Source organism: Homo sapiens, chromosome 7 (assembly GCF_000001405.40).
Source record: "Homo sapiens chromosome 7, GRCh38.p14 Primary Assembly".
Lineage (NCBI taxonomy): Eukaryota > Metazoa > Chordata > Mammalia > Primates > Hominidae > Homo > Homo sapiens.
The window spans coordinates 50,608,763-50,629,071 of NC_000007.14; the positions used below are offsets into that span (position 1 = coordinate 50,608,763).

Here is a 20,309-nt window from a genome sequence, read left to right on the forward strand (position 1 = left end):
GTGACCAGCCTAGGCAACATGGCAAAACCCTGTCTCTATAAAAAATACAAAAATTAGCTGGGCATGGAAGTGCATGCCTGTAGTCCCAGCTACTCAGGAGGCTGAGGTGGGAAGATGGTTTGAGCCCGGGAGGTTGAGGCTACAGTGAGATGAGCTCATGCCACCGTACTCCAGCCTGGGAGGCAGGGTGAGACCCTGACTCAAAAAAAAAAAAAAAAAAAGATGTGATATCTAGGGTAACCAGGAGAAAATAGTAAATGTACATGTACGTATTGGGTTAACAGAGGGAAAAACATAAATATACTTAATAAATCTAAAAAATTAAGAGAAAAGGAATACAAGAGAGGTGGGACAACCTGGAAAAAACTGCAAATGGCAGGTTCAAATACAAATATGATTATCACACTAAATAATACAATTAAATCACAGTAAATATTTTGGTTAAAAGATAAAGATTATCAAAGTAAAATAGTTACATTGTGATTATAAGAGATATTCCTTAAACATAAGGACCCAGAAAAGTAGAAAAAAGATGGTCCAAGAAAAACTGTGTAATGAAGCAAAGCTGAGGTAAAAATCATTAAATAAATTAATATGTGCCAGATTAGACTCTGGGGCAAGGAGCATTGCTAATAAAGCATATTTTATAATGTCTTAGAATTGACATACCAGGAAGATACAAATATTCTCAATTTTGGGTACCTAATAACATACACATTTTATTTTATTCACATGTTTGCATGTATATATTTACATATATGGGTGTGTGTAGACAGAAAAGATTAAATGGTAATAAATAATTGTTGCAAAGGTTTAATGCTGCGTTCATTGCCTTTTCAATGTCAGGTCATGTAAAACCAAAGCAATCAGTACTAGGGACTCTTGTGTGGATGAGGCAAGACCTCCCTCTTGGGGATGAGTTTCTACAGTAGATTAAGAGACTTCTAGAAGACAGAGGGAGGAGGAAAGATGGCAATAAATAATTGTTGCAAAGTTTTAATACTATTCACACAGCTCCTACAGCTTCCAAGAAATTACCTAACAAACAATGTAACAGGAAGAAATGAGACAAAAGATTATCTGCTGGCGCTACTAAGAGCATCTTTCTGAAAAGCTAAGTAAAGCCATGCCAGCTTTCTCCTATGTAGACCCAAGTTATAAGATTTATTCATTTTTTTCAAGAAAGTGTATCTGTGTAGGTAAAGATGTAAGAAGGTCCTAGGTTAATTCAAAATAACAACCCAGCTCTGCCTTTCCATGGTTGATATGAAGATGCTGTTTGTAGTAGATGGTAAAAGGGCCCTGTCAACTTCAGCCCTCAGACCCTCTTATCCTCTAAAAGGGGATCCGGTGTCCTGTGTCCTCCTCTGGAGGAAGGCAGAGCACACACACGGGATGCCTTGTTTTAGAATGAATGTCAACATGGAGACCCTGGAGTCATAAAGAGTTACCTCCCCACTGTCCCTAACTCTATCCCGGTTATCATTTCTGTATAGTGGGCAATGAATCAGTGCCGACAACACTCAAATGGCGTTTCGATTGCATTACAATCCTATGGCTATTTGGGGCAGAAACACATCACTTGCACTCCACTTGAGACCGGCCCCGAGGCCATCACTGCCACCTTCCTGTCAGGTCTGGCTCCCCAGCCTCCTATAAGAATAGTACCTAAGACGTATCCTTAATGACTCTAGAATCCGTGTATCACTGGATGCAAAGTGCTTCCCTGCAAAGTGGCTGGGACAAGAGGAATGCATTCAGAACTCACGGCAGCTTCCAGGTGGCTCTAGGGAGGGCAGCAAAGCATGGTAGTGAGGAAAGGGGTTCTGGGGCCAGAATGTCAGGGCTCTGACCCTGCTCTGCCACATCGTGGCAGCTACAGCTTGGGCCTCAGTTTTGTCATCCACAAAATGAGGATGATAATATGCATGTCACTGAGCTGTCACAAACAGTAAAGTGATAAAGAATGCCTGGCCCATAGCAAATGCTCAAAAAAATCTTAATATTATGTAACACATCATTGTTAACACTGACAACAATAAAGTCAGTTCGTTTTGCATTAGTCACTCTGCCCACATCCTTTCCTGTGGCTCGTTATGTTAGCGCAACAAAGGAGAGACACCCAAGAAACAGTGGTTAAGAACCTGATACTTGGATTTATTATATATTACCCAAAGTAATAGAATTCATAGCTTCTTGGAGTATACTACCACTTTCCTTTTTCATTTCCTTTTTTTTTTGCCTTTTCCAAAACAGATGATTCATTTGCAGATTAAAATTTCAACCATATACAGACAGCTTCAAAAGATCACCCCTGGCCGCTGCCCCTATCTGCACAGCTGCCTCTCCCATCTCCTCTCCCTACTAAGCAACCTCTTTCTTCTCTCCTGCAGCTCACACAATGTTCATGAGCATACCATCAAATACAAATATTCCAATTTTTCCTGTTCCCTTCACACAAATGTAGCCTTCTCTCTATATACTGTTCTGTACTTTGCTTTTTAATTGTTAGTAATTTTTCCGCAACAGGACACAAAGAGCAATCTCATTCTTTCTGGAGGTCCATGCAGAATACTGCCCTCAATGGATGTCACCTATGTGACCAGTTCCCACTGATGACCCTTACACTGAAAACCGGCTTACACAGGAGTGGTCTATGATCTATGATGTATTAACATGGACATTTCCTCTTCCATTATGAATTTGTAAAGTTTTGATTTCCATAATTCTTTTTTTAATCAGTGAAAACATAAAATAAGGTTCTGGGAGAGAGATACAGGAAGCCAATCTGTGGAACTTTTGGTTTGGGCCCCAGCATCCTATAAAAATGGCACTAGGATGTATCCTTAATGTCTCTGGAATCTGTGGATTACTGGGTGCAAAATGCTACCTGCCAAGTGGATGGGACAACAGGACTACATTCAGAATTGGATCTGCAGCACCTCCAGGAAAGTTTTGAGCTATGCTTCCTTCAGTTCCTCCATCTCCTTAATTGACTTCACCTTGAGTCTCTGGACCAGCTCAAAGGCCACTACAGTTCAACGAAGGCTGGGAGTTTTTGTAAAGAAATCCCTAGACCATTGTATCCATTGGCTCCAGTTGACTAAACGAACATCTCCTATGGAGACCCCTGGACTTTAGCCAAGCTCACCTGGGCCAGCTAACTTACAACTCACAAGGACTCTGTAGACTTAATTCCAGACATGTGGGATATGGTATATGTGCACAGAAACACTGTGGGAAATCCAAAGTGACTACAGTAAACAGCCCTATGAAATCACTCTGGCAACTGGCATGAAATTGCTGTCAAGGGCATTACTCTATATGCAGTACCACGTGATAAATTTCCTTTAGAACTTACAGTCAGGAGGTACTGTCTCTGCTGAGGAGCTTCAGTCAACTGTATAATTCATCATGTTTACTTCATGGCCCTGGCTTTTTGGGAACCTGAGAGTTGGTTCAGTCGTGAAAATAATTAACACCTCATGTACTATTTCCTTTCTCCCTGGTCCTGATTTTTCGAATCCTATTCTTCTAATCTAGTGGTCTCAACCAGGGGCAATTCCCCATCCTCTGGCTTCAGGGCACATTTGGCAACATTTAGAGACATTTTTGGTTGTCTCAACTGGCCGGGCGTGCGACTGGCATCTAGCAGGCAGAGACCAGGTATGCCACACATCTAAGTGGCCTGCAATGCTTGGATGTCCCCCAGACCCCCGACAAAGAATTATTCTACCCAAAATGTCAGTAGTACTGAGTCCGGAAAACCTAGCTCTACCCTGTTTAATATTAGGCCCTCTGTTAAAAGCTCCTGAGATCTTGTTTAGAAAGATGCTTAACTACATTTGATAAATAAAATATTGTGACAGAACAGCGGAAAAGTTACGAGCATTTTCCTGCCAGAATAGACATCAAGTCCAGAGGCCAATTTTCCACGAAGAGATGTGCACTCAACACAAACCGCAAGATGTCACATACCTTGAGGAGTCTGAACGCTGTCATCCAGCACGTCCTGGTTTGCTCGTCCTCTGCACAGAGCAACCTCAGCTCTTTAGTTTCATTCCTGACTTTGTTTGGCTACAGGAGGTAAAAGAAAGTCCTGTTAGTGTTACACAGGGAGTCAGAAACAGCTTCTGTCAAGGCAGGGCTGCATCTGACACAAACCAGAGACAACCAGCTGGAGATCCCCCTAGCAAGGAGCACAGCAGATACACACACACCTGTGTGTTAAGCGTTCATTCATCCACCTTCCTGACAAGACTTTATTAAGTGCCTACCATGGACTGGCCCCAGGTTGTGTACCACTTAGCTGAATAATAAGCCATCCTTTGGGAACTTCAGAGGAGACAGAAAAACAAACTAGCACAGGACAACGTAATGTGGTAAGCACAATAGGACAAAGAGGAAGAGGCATCTAACTCTGTCGACGGACTGGATTCTATGGGAGGAGAACCTGCCTTCTGACTTACAGGAGGAGAGATCTTAAAGTTGCCCCCAGGCCACTGAGAGGAGGGGCTGCTGCAGGGCTTAGCCAAGAGGGGCAACCCCTGAGGAGCTCAGGGATTCTGATGTCTGAGCAGCCCCAAGATCAGACCCCAAGTAGAAGGTCCAGAGAGGGAGACTGATGTTGGCTCTGGAGAATGAGACAGAAGGGGAAGTAGGCACCATGGGGAGAAGACAGGTGCCCCTCCAGAGGCAGGGCCCTTTGGTGAGGGAGGAGAATTGTTGCAGGCATAAACTGACCTGCATCTCCAGAAGAACCCCCGACCTCAGACTCAAGAAACAATGCTGGACACACCCCAGCTCTCCCTCCCAAGAATCTGGAGGGGTTGAGGGACAGGTGTGACTACCCTGCGCTCGGCTGGTGCTATGAGAGAAGCAGAGACTGCGTTTGCAGAGACAGGCAAGCATGGCTGGTGTGGGCTGGTGGGAAGGGAGAGTGCCAGCTGCTGCTCATACCTCCAGCCCCGCCTGAGGCTGCCTTGGGCCTCTAGCTGGTGTGAATTAGACGCCTATTACTTATAACCGAAAGAGTATTCCCTGAGCAAGGTATGAGGTGATATTTTGGAAAGAAATTTTCCCCTAAGGAGGGGCTCCCCGTATTGTGTGTTCTCGGGATGTGGCTTGGGCTATGGCTCATAAGTCAGCCTACAGGGCAAACTCCAAGCACAACTATTCACTGGCTACTGGATGTGGGCAATGTGGCCAACTTCCTATCCCACAAGGGGCTGTGAAGATTAAGATAATGGATGTAAAACTGTCAGTGGAACATATCATGCACAGTAAGCATTCAGTAAATATCATCTACCATTATGATTATTAATACCACCACAACCTCATCAGGGGAAAAGGAGTGGGCTCTGCCTATAGGTGTGTGCACATGTGTATGTGTGTCTATGTACATGTGTGTATAATGTATGTGTATGCACAAAGGTGTATGTCTATACCTGTGTGTATGCACAAAGGTGTATGTCTATACATGTATGTATGCACGTGTGGGTATGTGCATGTAGATGTGTGTGCACACGTGTGTGTGCATGCCAGCACACACATGCATGCAGAGGGTGGGCAGCATTGTGTCTATTCCTGTCTGACCATCCCCACAGCCAGAGGCCCACACAGAAGCCATCAGCTCACTCAGTACCATGCAGGCAACCCAGGTGACAGGCTGGGGGTCCCCTCCCTTGCCCCACCTCCCCTTCCAGCTACTAGTACTGGGCTACAGCCACAGCCCACCCTTTGATGCCAAAAGCCACCCTCCCTAAAACACTGAGCCCACTAGCCACATTATCCATCCCTGTCTGCTTGTCCTTGAGCTTCTGAGCTACTCAAGGACTGATAGCAGCAAGTGTACAATAAATGTTTTTACAGGAATGGATAAATCCAGTGTGAAACTATGTTTCTGTTGAAGACAATAGAAGCAACAATCAAGTGCTGGGCAAGAGAAGAAGTCAGTCTCCTGTGGGCTGCTGAGCATGCGCGCCGTCTGTGGACAGCTCGTGGGTACCTTTATGCAGAGCCCGTGGTCTGTAGGGGCGTTGTACTGCTTCCTGCCAGCGATCAGGGAGAAGATGTTGCTGTCCTCCAGGTCGGCCAGCAGCTGCAGGTGTCTGGGTTCCTGTGACAACACTGGCCAGGTTAAAGTCTCAAGCACAGCAAAGAGCAAATGTGTTCACCTCTGGTAGACAGAGGGCAGTCTCTGCACACTTACAAGCACTTTCCCCGATGACACTATACATATTACATATGATTATTACGCGAGGTGTAATAAGTGCTAAACTAAAACCAAATTCACCCAGTCTCACCCAAAACACCCACTTCCCCAGTTCTCAGACACACAAGGCTGTTGGAACGTATTTGATACTTCTGGCAAATCAAAGCCCCATGACCGGATATTCAAGATAAAAAGCAGGAGAAAATCTATAACCCAAAGGTCAGAGTTAAGAGCACAGGGCCTGTCTGCCTTTGGTTTGTTGTGAGTCCAGAGTCCAACCGTACTTTGGGTTTTCCCACTGGTAGCTTGCTTGTCCCACCCTTCTCCTCCTCAACTCTCCAGCCCAGCTCTGTTTCCTGCTCTACGAAATACCCTCCCAACTTCAGCACACACGAGGACAGTGAGCGGGCCACACAGCAGAGCTGGGAGGTCAGGAAGCTACCATGCCCTGTGTCAGTTCAAAGCCCCTCTCTGCAGACGCCCCTTCTCTCTGGCCCAGGTGTCGGCAGCTGCTGACTTCCCAGAGCCGGCCCCAACACCTTCCCAGAGCCGGTTCCCAGATGCTCAACACCTGTGCTGGGGTCCCGCCAGCTCCCTTTCACCTCTGCTGGCCAGAGCAAAAGAGACCACAGCCCTCAGATGGTAAGTGCTCAGCCAGGTATTGGGTGGACAAGGCTCCTGCCACAGGGTATATGTGGACAGCACAAGAAGAGAGCAGACAAGAGTGTACATGGGAGCAAAGGAGCCTCCGGCCTAAGCTCTCTTTTGAGGGCCTGCAGCTGTTTTCCATCTCCCACCTTCTTCTCACTGGGGATACATGCAAGCCTGCAGTTTATTTCATGAAATATCTATGATACATAAAGTTACACTGGCATTAGGGTGGCAATAGTCTATCAAACATCTTTACAGCTAGCTTAAATCCCAACTTATGAGAACTAGGCCAGTCTCTGAAGTGATGGGGCAGCCAGGGGTGTCTGCTCCCAACCCGCAGTGGGGGTGGGGCTAGGCAGGTGGGGTTCTTAGGCCTGTATTATTTATTACCTAGTTTCTGAGCGAGACCAGGAAACCTGTGACTCCAAGTTCAGCTGCTGCACAATTAGCTTATTAAGAAGTTGTCCTGAGCTTGGAGGAGTCTAAGGTGCATTTAAAAATGAAGCCCAGGTTCACTCTGAGGACCTGGGGGGAGTGACTGTGGCAGAATTAGGGCTGGTGGTGGTAGCTTTTAAAGCTCACCTTTGAAGTTCCCTTGGTGGAGCAATAAAGGCCAGATCTCCGCAAACACACATACAGCTTTTTCCATGATTTCTTTCCCAGCTCTTTCACATGCAAAAACCCTTGAATTTCAGGACAACTACTGGAGTTCAGAAAATTCTGTTGAAGAACAAATTTTTAAAATCACATAATGCTAATCTAAAATAATTAAAGCAGACATGTTATCAGCATAGCTGACATTTTCTGAATTATTAAAAGACTCCTTTTTGGATCAAAATGAGAGTGTTCTCCTTTCCAAAGTCTTAAAATCCCATCTCAATTCGTGTTGCATAGAACATAATTCGTATTTAAACATATGCAAGCAAATGGACCTTTCCAACACTGGTGATAACACGAGTCATGAATTTCCCTATAAGATAGTGCACTGAAGGATCCAGTCTGATATCAGACTGAGGGCAAGAGCAAGTGCCATGACCAAGTGATTGGGACTCTGGAGACTGACAGTGAGTATGTAGTGGCCACTTTTACCCAGGCACCCCTCCAGTCAAGGGTCACATAAAAGGTGTCATGTGTCCGCAAGTGATGCACCCAGGTGCAGGACATCCTGGTGATGTCCCCCTGTTCCAGCTAACTCTTCCCACAGGCAGCCTTAAGAATAAAGGCTTTATCAAAACAAAACAAAACAAGAAACTACGCTTTTCATCAAAGGGAAGACAGGCCAAGGGCCAGGTCATGGAGCGAAGTTGGGGAGGTGATGCTGGCAGGTCCTGCTACTAGACTGGGAGGGGACAAAGCTCTTTTCCCCCAGGTGGGAAAGGCACGTCGGACAGAGCCCTGGTGCACCTGGGTCAGTCCTTCTTGAGTCTCAAGAGATCACTGCACATCTTCACAAAGCGCATGGATCCTCTCAAAGTCAAGGCAATTAAAACAGAATCTGCTATTTCACTGTTCACTGTGTATAGGTGGTAACTTAGTGCTGACACCTCTCGCCAGAACAGACACATGCTATGGTCAGAAGGGCTTCTGAAGACACCACCAGAACAGAGCTCTGAAACTCTTATCTTTTAGATGCTGAAACAAATTTGGTGATAACAACGTAGAAAAAGGGCTTATGAGGAGAATTCTGTAGGAACTACATTTTAGTAGTTTCTCTTACATGTAATGTCACCTGGATCTTGTTGGTGGCCTTAGGAAATGGTTTATTCTCTCACTTTTAACATGTACACAGGCACATTTTTAGGGTGTAGCTGTAACATTCCCATTCCCCACTCCCAGCTTCCCCGGAGGAGTGTGTGTGAGAGCTGGGCACAGAGGCCCTGGTGGCTCCCTCCACTGGAAGAGGAGGTGGGGAGAGACCAGGTTTTCTTAGAACAGACTTTATGAATCAGGACAATTAAAGCAGGTTTCTTTATTTGTAATATATGGCAAGTTACTTTTAAAAGTCTGTTGTGGTAACCCGATCATCTTTTACTATAGACTCTGTGCTTCTGCAGAGATTTCCAAGCAGCTAGGCGGTGGCCTGACCTGGGACCCCTGCTCAGAAAGGAGCTGGGGAGGGAGCCCTGAGACTGGGGTTTCTCCATGCACCCCCTGGCCCACACTCAGCAGTGGCATCACTGGACTCTTCTAAGTCAGAGCAAGGGCATCGTGTAAGTGCCTGTTTGGCTTAGAAGGAACCCAGCTACACACAGATTTTCCAAGGAAACTTTTAATTTCTGGTTACTCTAAACCCTCCCCCCAACCACCCCTCCGGCTTAAGAGCCAAGGTTATAAATGGTGAAAGATGCGATCTCTTTAGGTTTTTTACAATGCTGCCATTCAGTTCCAAGAGGATTTCTATTCAGAAAGTCTATTTCAGCAGAGATCTATTGTGGCCCAGTACCTGCAAAAGCTGGGTTTGACTGCCATTTGACTGCTGGCACCAAGTAACCATCTGTTCTGGGAAGAAATTCTAAGAAAATGGGAAAAAACAAATACGTAAAAGGTTAGCTTCAAAGTGAGGGAAGGTATGTCATATAGATATGTCAATTTTAAAACTATTCCTACCAGTATAATTACATACACCTGTATTTAAAATGGCGGTCCTTTTTATTCTCCTATCACACAGAAGAAACACCTCCTTCAAAAGGTTGTATTTTGTTTCCTGAAATGCTGGGTACTAGTGTGGAATACCAACTATGTTTACTAAGGGATTCATGTCTCACAGCATGCTCCATGGCAAAGAGCGATGCCAGCGTCCCAGCCCAGTGGCACAAGTGCACAGCGTGAGATAAAGAATTCCTGAAACTAAAAGGTAAGCCCAGTCACGAGAAAAGCCTGTTCTGCTGCATTCCCCAAAAACAGTCTTCAAATTTCTTACTTTGGAATAAAAAAGCAGCTACATTATCAGAGTCAGAAATGGCCCTGGGTCTTCTCCCCAGTTGATGCAGCTCTGACCCATGACTCAGGATGACAGCGAGTGCCCCAGGAGCTAGGAGGTGCCCTCCCTATCCTGGCCTCTCACAGGACAAGTGCCTCTCCCAAAGAAAGAAAAGAGAGATCAAGGTGACCAGCTCAAGACACCAACCAATCGCACTGATTTCTCTAGTCATTCTTCCACGTATGATCACAAAATATATTTGCTATTTGCAGAGAATAATGAGTTTTTCTTCTGCTAAGTGTTTGATCAGTTCAACTGAGAACTTTCAAAATAACAGAAAACACCCAGCCTCTCCCAGCTCCTGTCTTAGAGACTAACCCCCTTTACACTGTGTCTATGTGAAGAAGGAGACCTCTACCTTCAGCCAGTCCCACGCACATTTAGTGAAGCATGAGACTGGGTTTCAAGCAAGGACTGCTTCATTAAACTACAACTCTGATTCTCAAACCCATATGCTACACCATGCCTCTCAGTCACTTTCTAATCTGATACTATGAAACCCAAGTATAAACTTCAAGATTTCAAGAGTCCCAAACCCCAAACCTGAAGAGGTAAGACTCACCATGGGATTTTTAAAGAACTCGTATTTTGCGTAATTCTTCCTGAATAGAAATTTACTCTCACTGGCCATGGTACTCTCCACCTGGACCACCAGCTCATGGTCTTCCAAGCACCTCTCTGCAGGGGCAAAGCATCACGTGTGAGACGCAACAGGTGGGAAATTCATGGTAGCTTTACAACCAAATGGAAGATTTGTTCAACTTTCTATTCTTCTTTAAACATTATGAATAAAGATGAGGTCAGGAAGGAAACTAAATTTAAATCTCTCTTTAATGCATTACCAAATGCATAAGAGGTCTTAAGATATACAGCATGAAGAATTCAGGTCAATACTTATTTTTATATACTTTTTGAATTTGGCATCAACCAGATGTTAAGGAATGAGCCCGTAAGACTCTTAGCAAATGATTTTGCCCTTAAATTGAGAAATTTCAACTCTTGTAAAGACTATAACAAGTGAGACAATATTCAAAGACAAAGGAGAAAGAACTTGAAAGAGGTGGAGGAGGGGGATGACCAAGAAGGTGCAGAGATGGAAGGAGATAGAAGCTTTTTGATGACATCAAACTTGGTTGCCAGAAAAGATGGTGCTGTGTACTGTGGGAGAGGCCGTGATGCACAGCAAGACTGTACGTACATACTCATCTTTCACACTGAAGCCCGCACGCACATCATGGAATAGTTCTTGTCAACCGAATTACACGTGAAGGCAGGGAAGAAAACACACTCCATCCTCCAGCACCCGCTGTGGACACGTACACACACACACATGCACGTACGCACACGCCTCCTTCACAGCATCTTACATAGCAGCACTGTCCCCCAGAAAGGGAAAAGTCGCTTCCCTCACTGTGTGAACACAGTGGTTCCAAGTGGAGCGGGAAGAACTCAGCATACTCTAGAACAGCGTGTGCCCAGAGAGGCCGCACTGCTCCCTTTCATGGCAGTTACGTCCCTTCCCAGGCACCTCCTCAGAAACTGTCATGGGAGGATGGTGGCCATGGGAAACTAACCTTATTAAATCATGGAATAAACAAGATGAACAAATGTACAGCAGGGTCAAAGTGTGAAGTGATGCCAAAATGGTACAGATTAACATGCTATGGAATTGACACCAGGGTAGTTCTGTTATCCTAAGACCCTACCCTCCTCTCCTGCAGCCAGACTGGAATCTTGAGGAAAGTTTCATCTTGGAAGGAAGGAATGAAGTTAAAGGCAAAAGCATTTCTGAGTCAAAGTGATCTCAGAATGCAGAAAAGACTTTCCGTCTACAACGAACAACTGTCGCCATGGGCACTCATCTCAGATGAGCCCCGACCGGCATGCAGAAGCAAATTCTGGAGCTGATTCGTGCTCGGCCCCGGTTTTGACATTACAAGGAAAGGATTCCTTGGTAAAAACACATTTAAAGCCAGAGTTTGTGAAGGAAAGGAATTTTCTCCCCGTGGCTGCCAGAAAGCTCAGACTTGGCACCACCACCAAGTGTGGAGCAGTTCCCATTTGTCCCTGTCTGGGAGGGAATGCTGCTAGCAACATGTGAACCAATACGTGGCCCTCATGTCTCCCCATGATAGAAAAAGAGAGAAACCAAGAACATGCAACAAAAACTGTTACGTTTGCTTTCCAAAAAGAGGTTCATTCATTGAAAATGGATTTTCCAGAAGGAAAACAAATCAATGACTTCTGTTGAAATGTTTATTCAGAGAAAAATGTCTTTCTGTAGTTACAGGAAAAAACAAAAACAAAAACCCAAAACCAAAACCAACAATCTAATAACCTGTTGATGGTTGATTTACAGAACTAAAAATTTTTATCAGGCAAAATAAGGAGAAATAAAAATGGGAGGTGATAGCTACCTAAATGAGGAGGATATGTCTGTTTCCAAAGCGAAGGGCATTTTGTCTCCAAAGAACCCTGAGGAGAGCCAAAGAGGATGCCTGGGGCAGCCACCAGCCCCAAAGGGGGTGGCCAAACCCACGCAGGCGCCCATCCTTGTGGACAATACTTTCCTGTCTCCCTGCGCCTCCCCTGGAAAGATCATGGGAAAGTTGCACATGGCAGTGTAAACACACAGGGGGACGTGTCCCTGGTGGTCAGATCCAGGTGGACAGGTGAGGGCTTGGTGCCCTGGCAAAGGGGGGCCCAGGAACTCGGGATAACCGGTGGGCTGTGAAACTGACTGTGTATCCTGACAGAAGTGTGCTTTTCTGAGGCTGGTGACTCCAGAGGGCGCCTACCATCCCCAGAGGTGGGTCCCAAGACAAACAAAACATCAACTCCCTTTTCGTCACTCACAGCAGGTCAGTGAACACAACGTGGCAGGTGACCCCTTTCTCAGAGATCCAGAGCTGTGCAGCCTCCGGATGCAGCTGAGTGCCCCTGGCACAAATGCTCCAGGCACCAGTGTTCCAGTTGGCCATCGACTGCACATCTGTTCAAAGATCTTCCCTCCAGTTTTAATTTTCTCCATGATTTAAAGATATGTATTTTCAAATGACCTTGCATGATTATAAACAATCACATCACTATCTATAAACTGCATATGATTACAATGGCCTAAGTTAAATGGGAACACTACTTTTCAAGATAATATTCCAAAAATAATTTCAAGAAATGGAAAGGGCAAAAATTCCTTGAAGTACATTTGTATTTTTCAAATTTCTGAAACTAATGCTGGCATTACTCTACTCCTCAAGAAAAAATATTTAAATATCAAGACAACTCAAAAAAGAGAATCTTACTTCCTTGCCTTAACCCTTGCAGCTAAAGTGTGACTCCTCGGCAGAAACCTGTGCTGCCAGTTGGCAGTGGAGGGGCCATGGCAGAGCCGGTGCACGGAAGCTGTGCACCCCACTGTCTCGGCCTCACATCGAGCTGCAGCCCTTGGGCCACTCCCTGCCCATCATTCCTCAGCACAGCCCACCCAAGGGAGAGAAAAGAGCTGTCAGCAAGCTCAGGGCTTTCCCAGGCTAAGAAACTGTCAACAGAGTAATCAGTGAGATAGCCCTGACGTGTGGATAAGGCCGTAAGTGGACTTCTATTTATAAATTTTAGTGGGGGAAAGGACATCTTTTGTTGCTTTTCACATACAAAAGGGAGAGAGGGACATAAAACCAGCCTGCAAAAGGCCCCCTCTAATCAGCAAGAGTCAACAGGCGCCGGCTGTTTCTCCCTCCACACCTTTCTGCATGTCCAGCTGTCAGCATCCAACAGCGTGGCAGCCACAGGACCTCCAGAGTTACTGCCACGGTGTTTCCCATCTGACCAGGAACAACCACAAAGCTGTAAACAGCCCGAAAAGGACTTGTTGCTCTTCCTGTTTCAACCTAATTCTCAGGACAACGGAATTCCTCAAATCCTTGAAATTTGTAAGATCTGGCGGAAACCCTCTTCTCTTTACTGTGTTCTCTGTGTAAGTTCCAGCCTCTCTCCCAGATTATCTGACCTTAGTATGCCTGATGTCTACAGTTACTTGGGGCCTGGGTGCAAGAGCCCCAGGCACCAGGTGCCCCCCACATTCCCAGGGATGGGTTTATCTGCAATCCCATTTTCAAGTTCAGGGGGCATCAAGATACTAGTTTTGTATGTTTAAATTTGTATTTTTCAAAATTCCTTTTATCTTTTTTTTTTTTTTAATTTTTGAGGCAGGGTCTTGTTCTGTCAAGCAGCTGGAGTGCAGTGATGCAAACACAGCTCTCTGCAGCCTCAACTTCCTGGGCTCAGGTGATCCTCCTGCCTTGGCCTTCCAAAGTGCTGGGACTACAGGCATGAGCCACTGTGCCTGGCCAAAAATATCTTTTAAAATATAATTTGTTTACTTGATATGTCTGCAGGCTGACTGTTTAATATCACTGCATCCTCCATGTGTGAAGCTGCCCTGGCTAAGGTGAACCTTCCAGAGACTTGCAGCTCACCATGCTCGGGGCAGAAGGGATGGGGACACCTTCCAAAAAACCTGCCCCATTCTGGCAGCCTCAGCTGGACTTACTGTCGGCTGTTGAGTGGCCTGGGTCAGGGACAGTGTTTTCATGGCTAAGAACTCCACTCCAGACACTGAGACTGAGAAACATCCCCAACAGGTAGAACCTGGGGGCAGTGCTAACATAGGAAGGGACCATTTAAAGGGACAAGTGAACTGGGAATCATAAAACAGACCATCATTCACTAGGGCTTCACCTACCAGGGCAAGGGGCTTTGCAACAACTTTTTCAAGTGCGTCCAGTAGTGAATGTCCCCAGGAGCTAACGCTGGGAAGGGCCACCTGACCTCAGTCTGCTCATAGGAGTCGTTCTCTGCTTATCCACAAGCGCAGCACAGAGCGGGCAGGAAAAACCACCCTCAGCGAGAGGGGCTACTCTGCCGAGTGACAGCAGGGATGCCACTGTTGCTGCCAATGGAGGGTGACCAGCATCTCAGAGGAGCGATGCCCTCCAGGCTGCAGACACCCACGCATGGTGCTTTTCTCCCGCAGAAAGGGAACCACCTGCTGCAGGCTATCTTGGGAACTACCCTCACTTTTTCTAAAGCCATCACTTCCTTCTGGGTATAGAAAAGGTTTAATATTATTAAGGGACTGATATTTTAGCTGTTAAGATCCTTATACAGGTTGAATATCCCTTATCCTAAATGCCTGGGACCAGAAGCTTTGGTTTTTGGATTTTTTTTCAAATTTTGGAACATTTGCATTATAGTTACCAGTTGAACAATCCAAAATCCCAAAATCAGAAATGCTTCAATGAGCATTTCCATTGAGCATCAAAACAGTACTCAAAACATTTCAGATTTTAGAGCATTTCAGATTTCAGATTTTTGGATTAGGGATACTCAATCAGTAATAATGTACTTTGTACTTTGGAATCTTCAATTCTGGAGGCCCTACATAGGCTTAAAATGCTGTCCAACTTGGGTGCCCTATACCCTCAATTATGGGGGGGTTGGGTTACAATCTGCCTTAGTATCTGCCTTATAGACTTGCAAGCACTACCTGCCTTTTGCCCCAGCCACCAGCCTGGCGTATGTACACATCCCTGTGAGAATACCTGACATATAATTACCTGGGCAAGTGCTCTCTACAAGGAGACAGCAATGCCTGGGGATGTGCCCTAAGAGTTGGAGGGCCAGAAGGGCCCAGGAATACCATCCATGATAAAGAAGAAGCCCCTGTTGGCCTTGCGGCCCTTGCGTCCCTTTCCAACGGGGATAAAGCTGAGATACTCAACAGGCTCTCTGAGAGGCACCCTGCAGCCCTGCATTTTCTCACTAATGAGCTTCTGATAGTTGAATGCTGCCAAATCATGGCAGAAATAAGATTTTTAGTTAAACAGCAACTTAAATTAATTTTTTAAAAAACGTTAAGTGATATGGTTGGGTCACAAAACAGTATTCAGAGAAGTTATAGGGATGGGGACACAGAAACCCTGTGTCAACGGGAATGAGTCCTGGGGGTACTGACCTTATAGGCTGGTGAAACTGGTAGCTCTAAAAACTTGCAAAGTCCTCTGCAAACCCAGCCAACAGAAAAATGTGTTTCCTAGTAACTAATAAGAACGGGACTGGTGGTGAGAAAGAAAACTGAGGAAGGAGAGGAAGGATATTCTAAGGAATTTCATGTATCTTCAAATCCCGGCTGTGTGAGGTTCGTTATTTTTTTATTTTTTATTTTTTTTGTGAAACAGGACCCAAAATTTGACACAAATATTCCTCTTTTTTTTTTAATCATTTCACTTGTTTCCCTTTCCCTTTTTTTCCTTTTATACTTAATTTTACAATAAAGTGTCATCGCCCACTAGAATGTATTAAGTCCATCTATAAAGAAGAGAAAGAAATAAGGTATGTAAATATCACAACCCTACAAATCCTGTGTGCTTATGGACATTTCTTTTCCTATTCTCTCAGAGTAAATGGTTCTTCATTTGGTTAAAGTTTTAATGCATCATTTATTTATCTACCATATGATAGTCTAGAAATCAAAGGGTATCACATGAAATAGATAATTCAAAATTTCTGAAACATTCCTTATATGTTAAAATTTTATGTATGTATATCTGTACCCAATTTCTATGTGTCCTGAGTGTGTCCAATTATATTCAAGTACTAAATGTCCGCAGAAGTCCTTTTCATAGTTCTTTCAAATGAAAAGAATATTGAGACTTGTGAATGGGCTTTCAACAATAATCATTGTATTTGGGTCAAACTATACAGACTTGTTTTTAAAATTTTATATATATATATTTTTTCATACATATATATACACATGTAGAGACACATGCTGAAGGTTTCCCACTGCTGTCTAATTTCCAAGTTACTTGTGTGTCAACAGGTGCTTTTGACAGCCTTATCAGACCACTGTAGGATCCACTCATGGACGTCCCAAGCTGGAGCTTGACGGGACAGCTAGTCTCCATGGGAACAACTGTGACATCATGGTCACTAACTGTGGACCTAGTAAGTGATCCTGGCAGGAGAAAGCTGTTAGTGACAATGGAGGAGAAGGCTTCTGTCGTCACACAAATGCGTTTAGCAATTGATAGAGATGGGAAAGAAACCAGCAAGAGTTCTATCCAATTCCTTCAAAAAGCATACCGTCTCTCCAAAGTACAGGGCGCATTAGAAAACAGAGACTTAAGGTGGTGTCAGCTCAAATTTACACTGCATTATTTAGGCTTAAATTGTATAATATTACCTGGAAGGATGCTACTCCAGACCTAGAGGTTTAAATTAAGTATTCCAGACCTAGAGGTTTAAATTCAATGTATTAATCTTTCAAAAAAGGTTCATGAGAAAAATTTAGAACTATGGGAAGTTTCCAATCTGTGTTATTTTTCTCTCCTTCAAGACATGGAACAAATATAGCTGTTGATTTAGAGAAAATTTTGGTTTTGAATATTTTACTATGACTTTGTAAGAACTATATTTATTAGATAAGAATTTAAGCAAAAGTCTGAAAAGCTTTTTTACCTAAAATAAGCCACCTGAACAAAATACCTCAATACGTTCTGTAAAGAGTCAATATCTTCAAATATTCTGTGATACAAAATATTCTCTTACTTTTTAGGCATGACATGGGCACACACATATACACGTGCATGAACACTGTTCAAAGCCTTATTAACCAGCAGGCAGAGATGCCATGTAAGACTCAACTCAAACTTACAGCAAAGTGCTTCATAATTTGCTCCAATTCCCAGCGGACCTCTCTGCACTTTGCTGCCTATAACCATGGCTCCCTTCTTCCCATGAGCTGAGGAGCTGATCTCAGAAGGGCAGCTGCAATCCTGTGCATGGCCAGCTCTCTCCAGAGCACCTCAAGGGCACCTCCCTCCTGTCCCCCGCCCACAGGTGTGCAGCAAGCTCCATGTGGCTCTGACAGCTGGGGAGGCTGGACAAGCCACAGGGAACCTCGCCATGTCTGAGCCCTTGGCAAGTTATTACCTCAACCATCCAAGGCAAGATTCCCAAAGTACTAGGGGAAAGGGGCTGGAGGGAGGAGAGTGAAATTTTAGGAGAAACAGGAGAGTCGAGGGGAACCCAGAGACTGCCTGCTAATTTCGCAGGGGACACTGCGGTCACACATTTGGCATTTGGCAGCAGCAGTCTTCATTCAATTGCACATAAGCATCCCCAGGTGCCAATCCTGTTCTGATGGTTCCCTACCTAATCCTAGGTGCGGGTGGTGCTCCACTAGTGTCCAGCTGTTGTCATCCACACAGTGACTTTTGTAAACCAGCAATTGGCACAGGTCTCTGGCTGTCATGTCTGCTAGAATCTCCACCACTTTGCTTGTCCCATCTTCACTAAAGACTTTAACATCCTGCAACACACAAAGGGGATAGTTACAGATAAACAACTTCGGGCTTTCAAGAAATAAAAACTGAAACAAAAGAAAACAGGTAAAGTAAAAATAGTAGTGCTCCAACACATGGGCAACTGTTTTTCCAGGCAGCCAACAGGTCCCCACCAGCTGCAGGGATGTGACTCTTCCTCCCTATCTCCCCTTTCCCACCTCCTGGGGGCAGAGCAGGTAGGATTACAACATGATACTCTTAAAATGCCCAGGACAACTCATGGGAACATACAGCACACGGCTAAACCACCAAACCTGTCTTAAGAAGTGACAGGATTCACAGGATTCATTTAAAATACGCTGGTGGTCTCCAGGTTGGACATTTTACAGTTGAACCAATTGAAAAAACAAGCAAGCAACAACAAATCCTGTAAATCTCCCTCTTCCCATCATAACCTTTGACGAGTCGACCTGTTCTCCCAGGGCACAGGGTCCAGCAGCGGCACCTACAGCCTTTCCCGCAGCACCTCACCCCTCACAGACACTGAGGCTCAGGGTGGAGTGGAGATGAATTAATACAAAAGAAGGGCATAATAAAAACATAGTCACAAGATTCTTTAGCCCCTAACCCCTACAAAGTTACAAGCAAGCTTCATTTGCCCGGTGCTGTTCAAATCCATGAACACCGAGCAGCTCCAGGCCAAGGGATGGAGAAGTAGAGTCCAGAGGACGGGAGTCTATCCCTTCCAGGCAAGACCCTGCAGCAATGCACCCTTCCCAGAACACGAGGTGTGTTTAACAAATCCTTACCTCGACAGCCCGGAAAAAGCAGTCAGAGGAGCAAGATGGCATTTTAAATTGCGACTGCCTCTTGCAAGGGAGCGTGTTTCCGTCTCTCCCCACTGTCCCAGGCTGGCTGTGTGGAGCCTGCGTGTGCCCTGGGGGGCAGGCTGTCTCCGGGCAGCAGGGAGGCCACCCACCCACCCGCTGGGCTCCCAGGCTGCCTTGCACCGGCTCCCTTAGGGAGTGAATCCAGCCACAGTGATGCAATCACCCCACGGACTTGCTCTCCCACTCCCATACGACAAGACCCGGACTTGGGGGTGAGGACGCCAACCACAACAACCGCAACAACACAACTCTCACACCAACTGGTCAGAAAAACCCCCGCTCAATGCTTTCCCATGGCAGTGAAATCACACACAGGCAGCTGAGAGGCTGAAACACGTGCGTTCTCTGAATCCAGACCCATCTGCCAACCTCCAAATAATCTTTGTCCCGCAACTGATGTGTCAGTGGCAGCTTTGGAGCTGGATCTGCAGGGTGGGTGAGAATGTTAGTTTGTCCTGACAAACTCCCTCCGAGGCTCCCCGCTCTCTCTGGCCCCTTTTCTTGTGTTTGGAAGGGGGTGCTTACTTGCTCTGAACTTTGATTTCTGTGGCCGGCGTGGAGTCTGACAGCAGAGGGAAGGGCTGGGAGGCCCCCACCTTAATCAGGAACTGGGACCACACCATTCTACAGGGACCCTCTTGACCCTCCTACAGCTAGCTACCCTCAGCTGTCACCCGGTGGGCAGGAAGGAGTCAATGTCACTCAAGCCTGAGTGCCCAGGTGGGGGTGGTGGGGGTGGTAGAGGCGGGGCTCAGCGAGAGCGGAAGAGCCCTTCTCTGTGAGGGCAGGTTAGCCTCCCAGCAGACGGGGGACCAGCCAGGGGAGCCTGCACTCTCAGGTAGGGTCACTGCCCCCTGCCTGCCACCTACGGGCCACTTCTCCAACTCAAAGAAATCCCAGGGCTGGGGCTGGATCAGGACCCAGAGACTTGTTTTCAACTCTTATTTATTTTTCAAGAAATCCACCATCTCTTTTCCAGAATTTATGTGTCACTCAATGAAAGTATACTTCCCCCTAACAAGCAAAATATTCAAATACAGCTGACATGGCTGAATAAGTCTACAGAAATACAATTTAAGTGAAGAAAACATGTCTCTGGGTCCTAGGTAGGAATGTTATTAAAATGCATTAACATAAAAGAAAAACAGGAATTTGGAAAATATAACTGAGCTCCAACAATGCTTTATAAATATGCTAACCATCATAGGGAATGTCTTCAGGACCAGTGC

The 20,309-nt window shown here is 45.5% G+C and overlaps 1 protein-coding gene across 42 annotated transcripts in view; it reads right to left on the minus strand.

Annotated features, from left to right (window-relative positions):
* The window catches only part of GRB10 (growth factor receptor bound protein 10), a 203,386-nt gene that overhangs the window by 18,695 nt on the left and 164,382 nt on the right, over positions 1 to 20,309 (minus strand). For 41 of the 42 annotated variants that reach the window (XM_017012061.3, XM_047420243.1, XM_047420233.1 and 38 more), the window contains 6 exons: positions 18,060 to 18,216; positions 10,408 to 10,523; positions 9,309 to 9,377; positions 7,448 to 7,585; positions 6,008 to 6,118; positions 3,979 to 4,077 (listed from right to left, as the gene is read on the minus strand). In XM_017012061.3, the coding sequence (XP_016867550.1) occupies positions 3,979 to 4,077; positions 6,008 to 6,118; positions 7,448 to 7,585; positions 9,309 to 9,377; positions 10,408 to 10,523; positions 18,060 to 18,216 (690 nt within the window). The remainder of the gene's footprint in view (positions 1 to 3,978; positions 4,078 to 6,007; positions 6,119 to 7,447; positions 7,586 to 9,308; positions 9,378 to 10,407; positions 10,524 to 18,059; positions 18,217 to 20,309) is intronic. The other variant, NM_001001549.3, reaches the window with a different exon arrangement.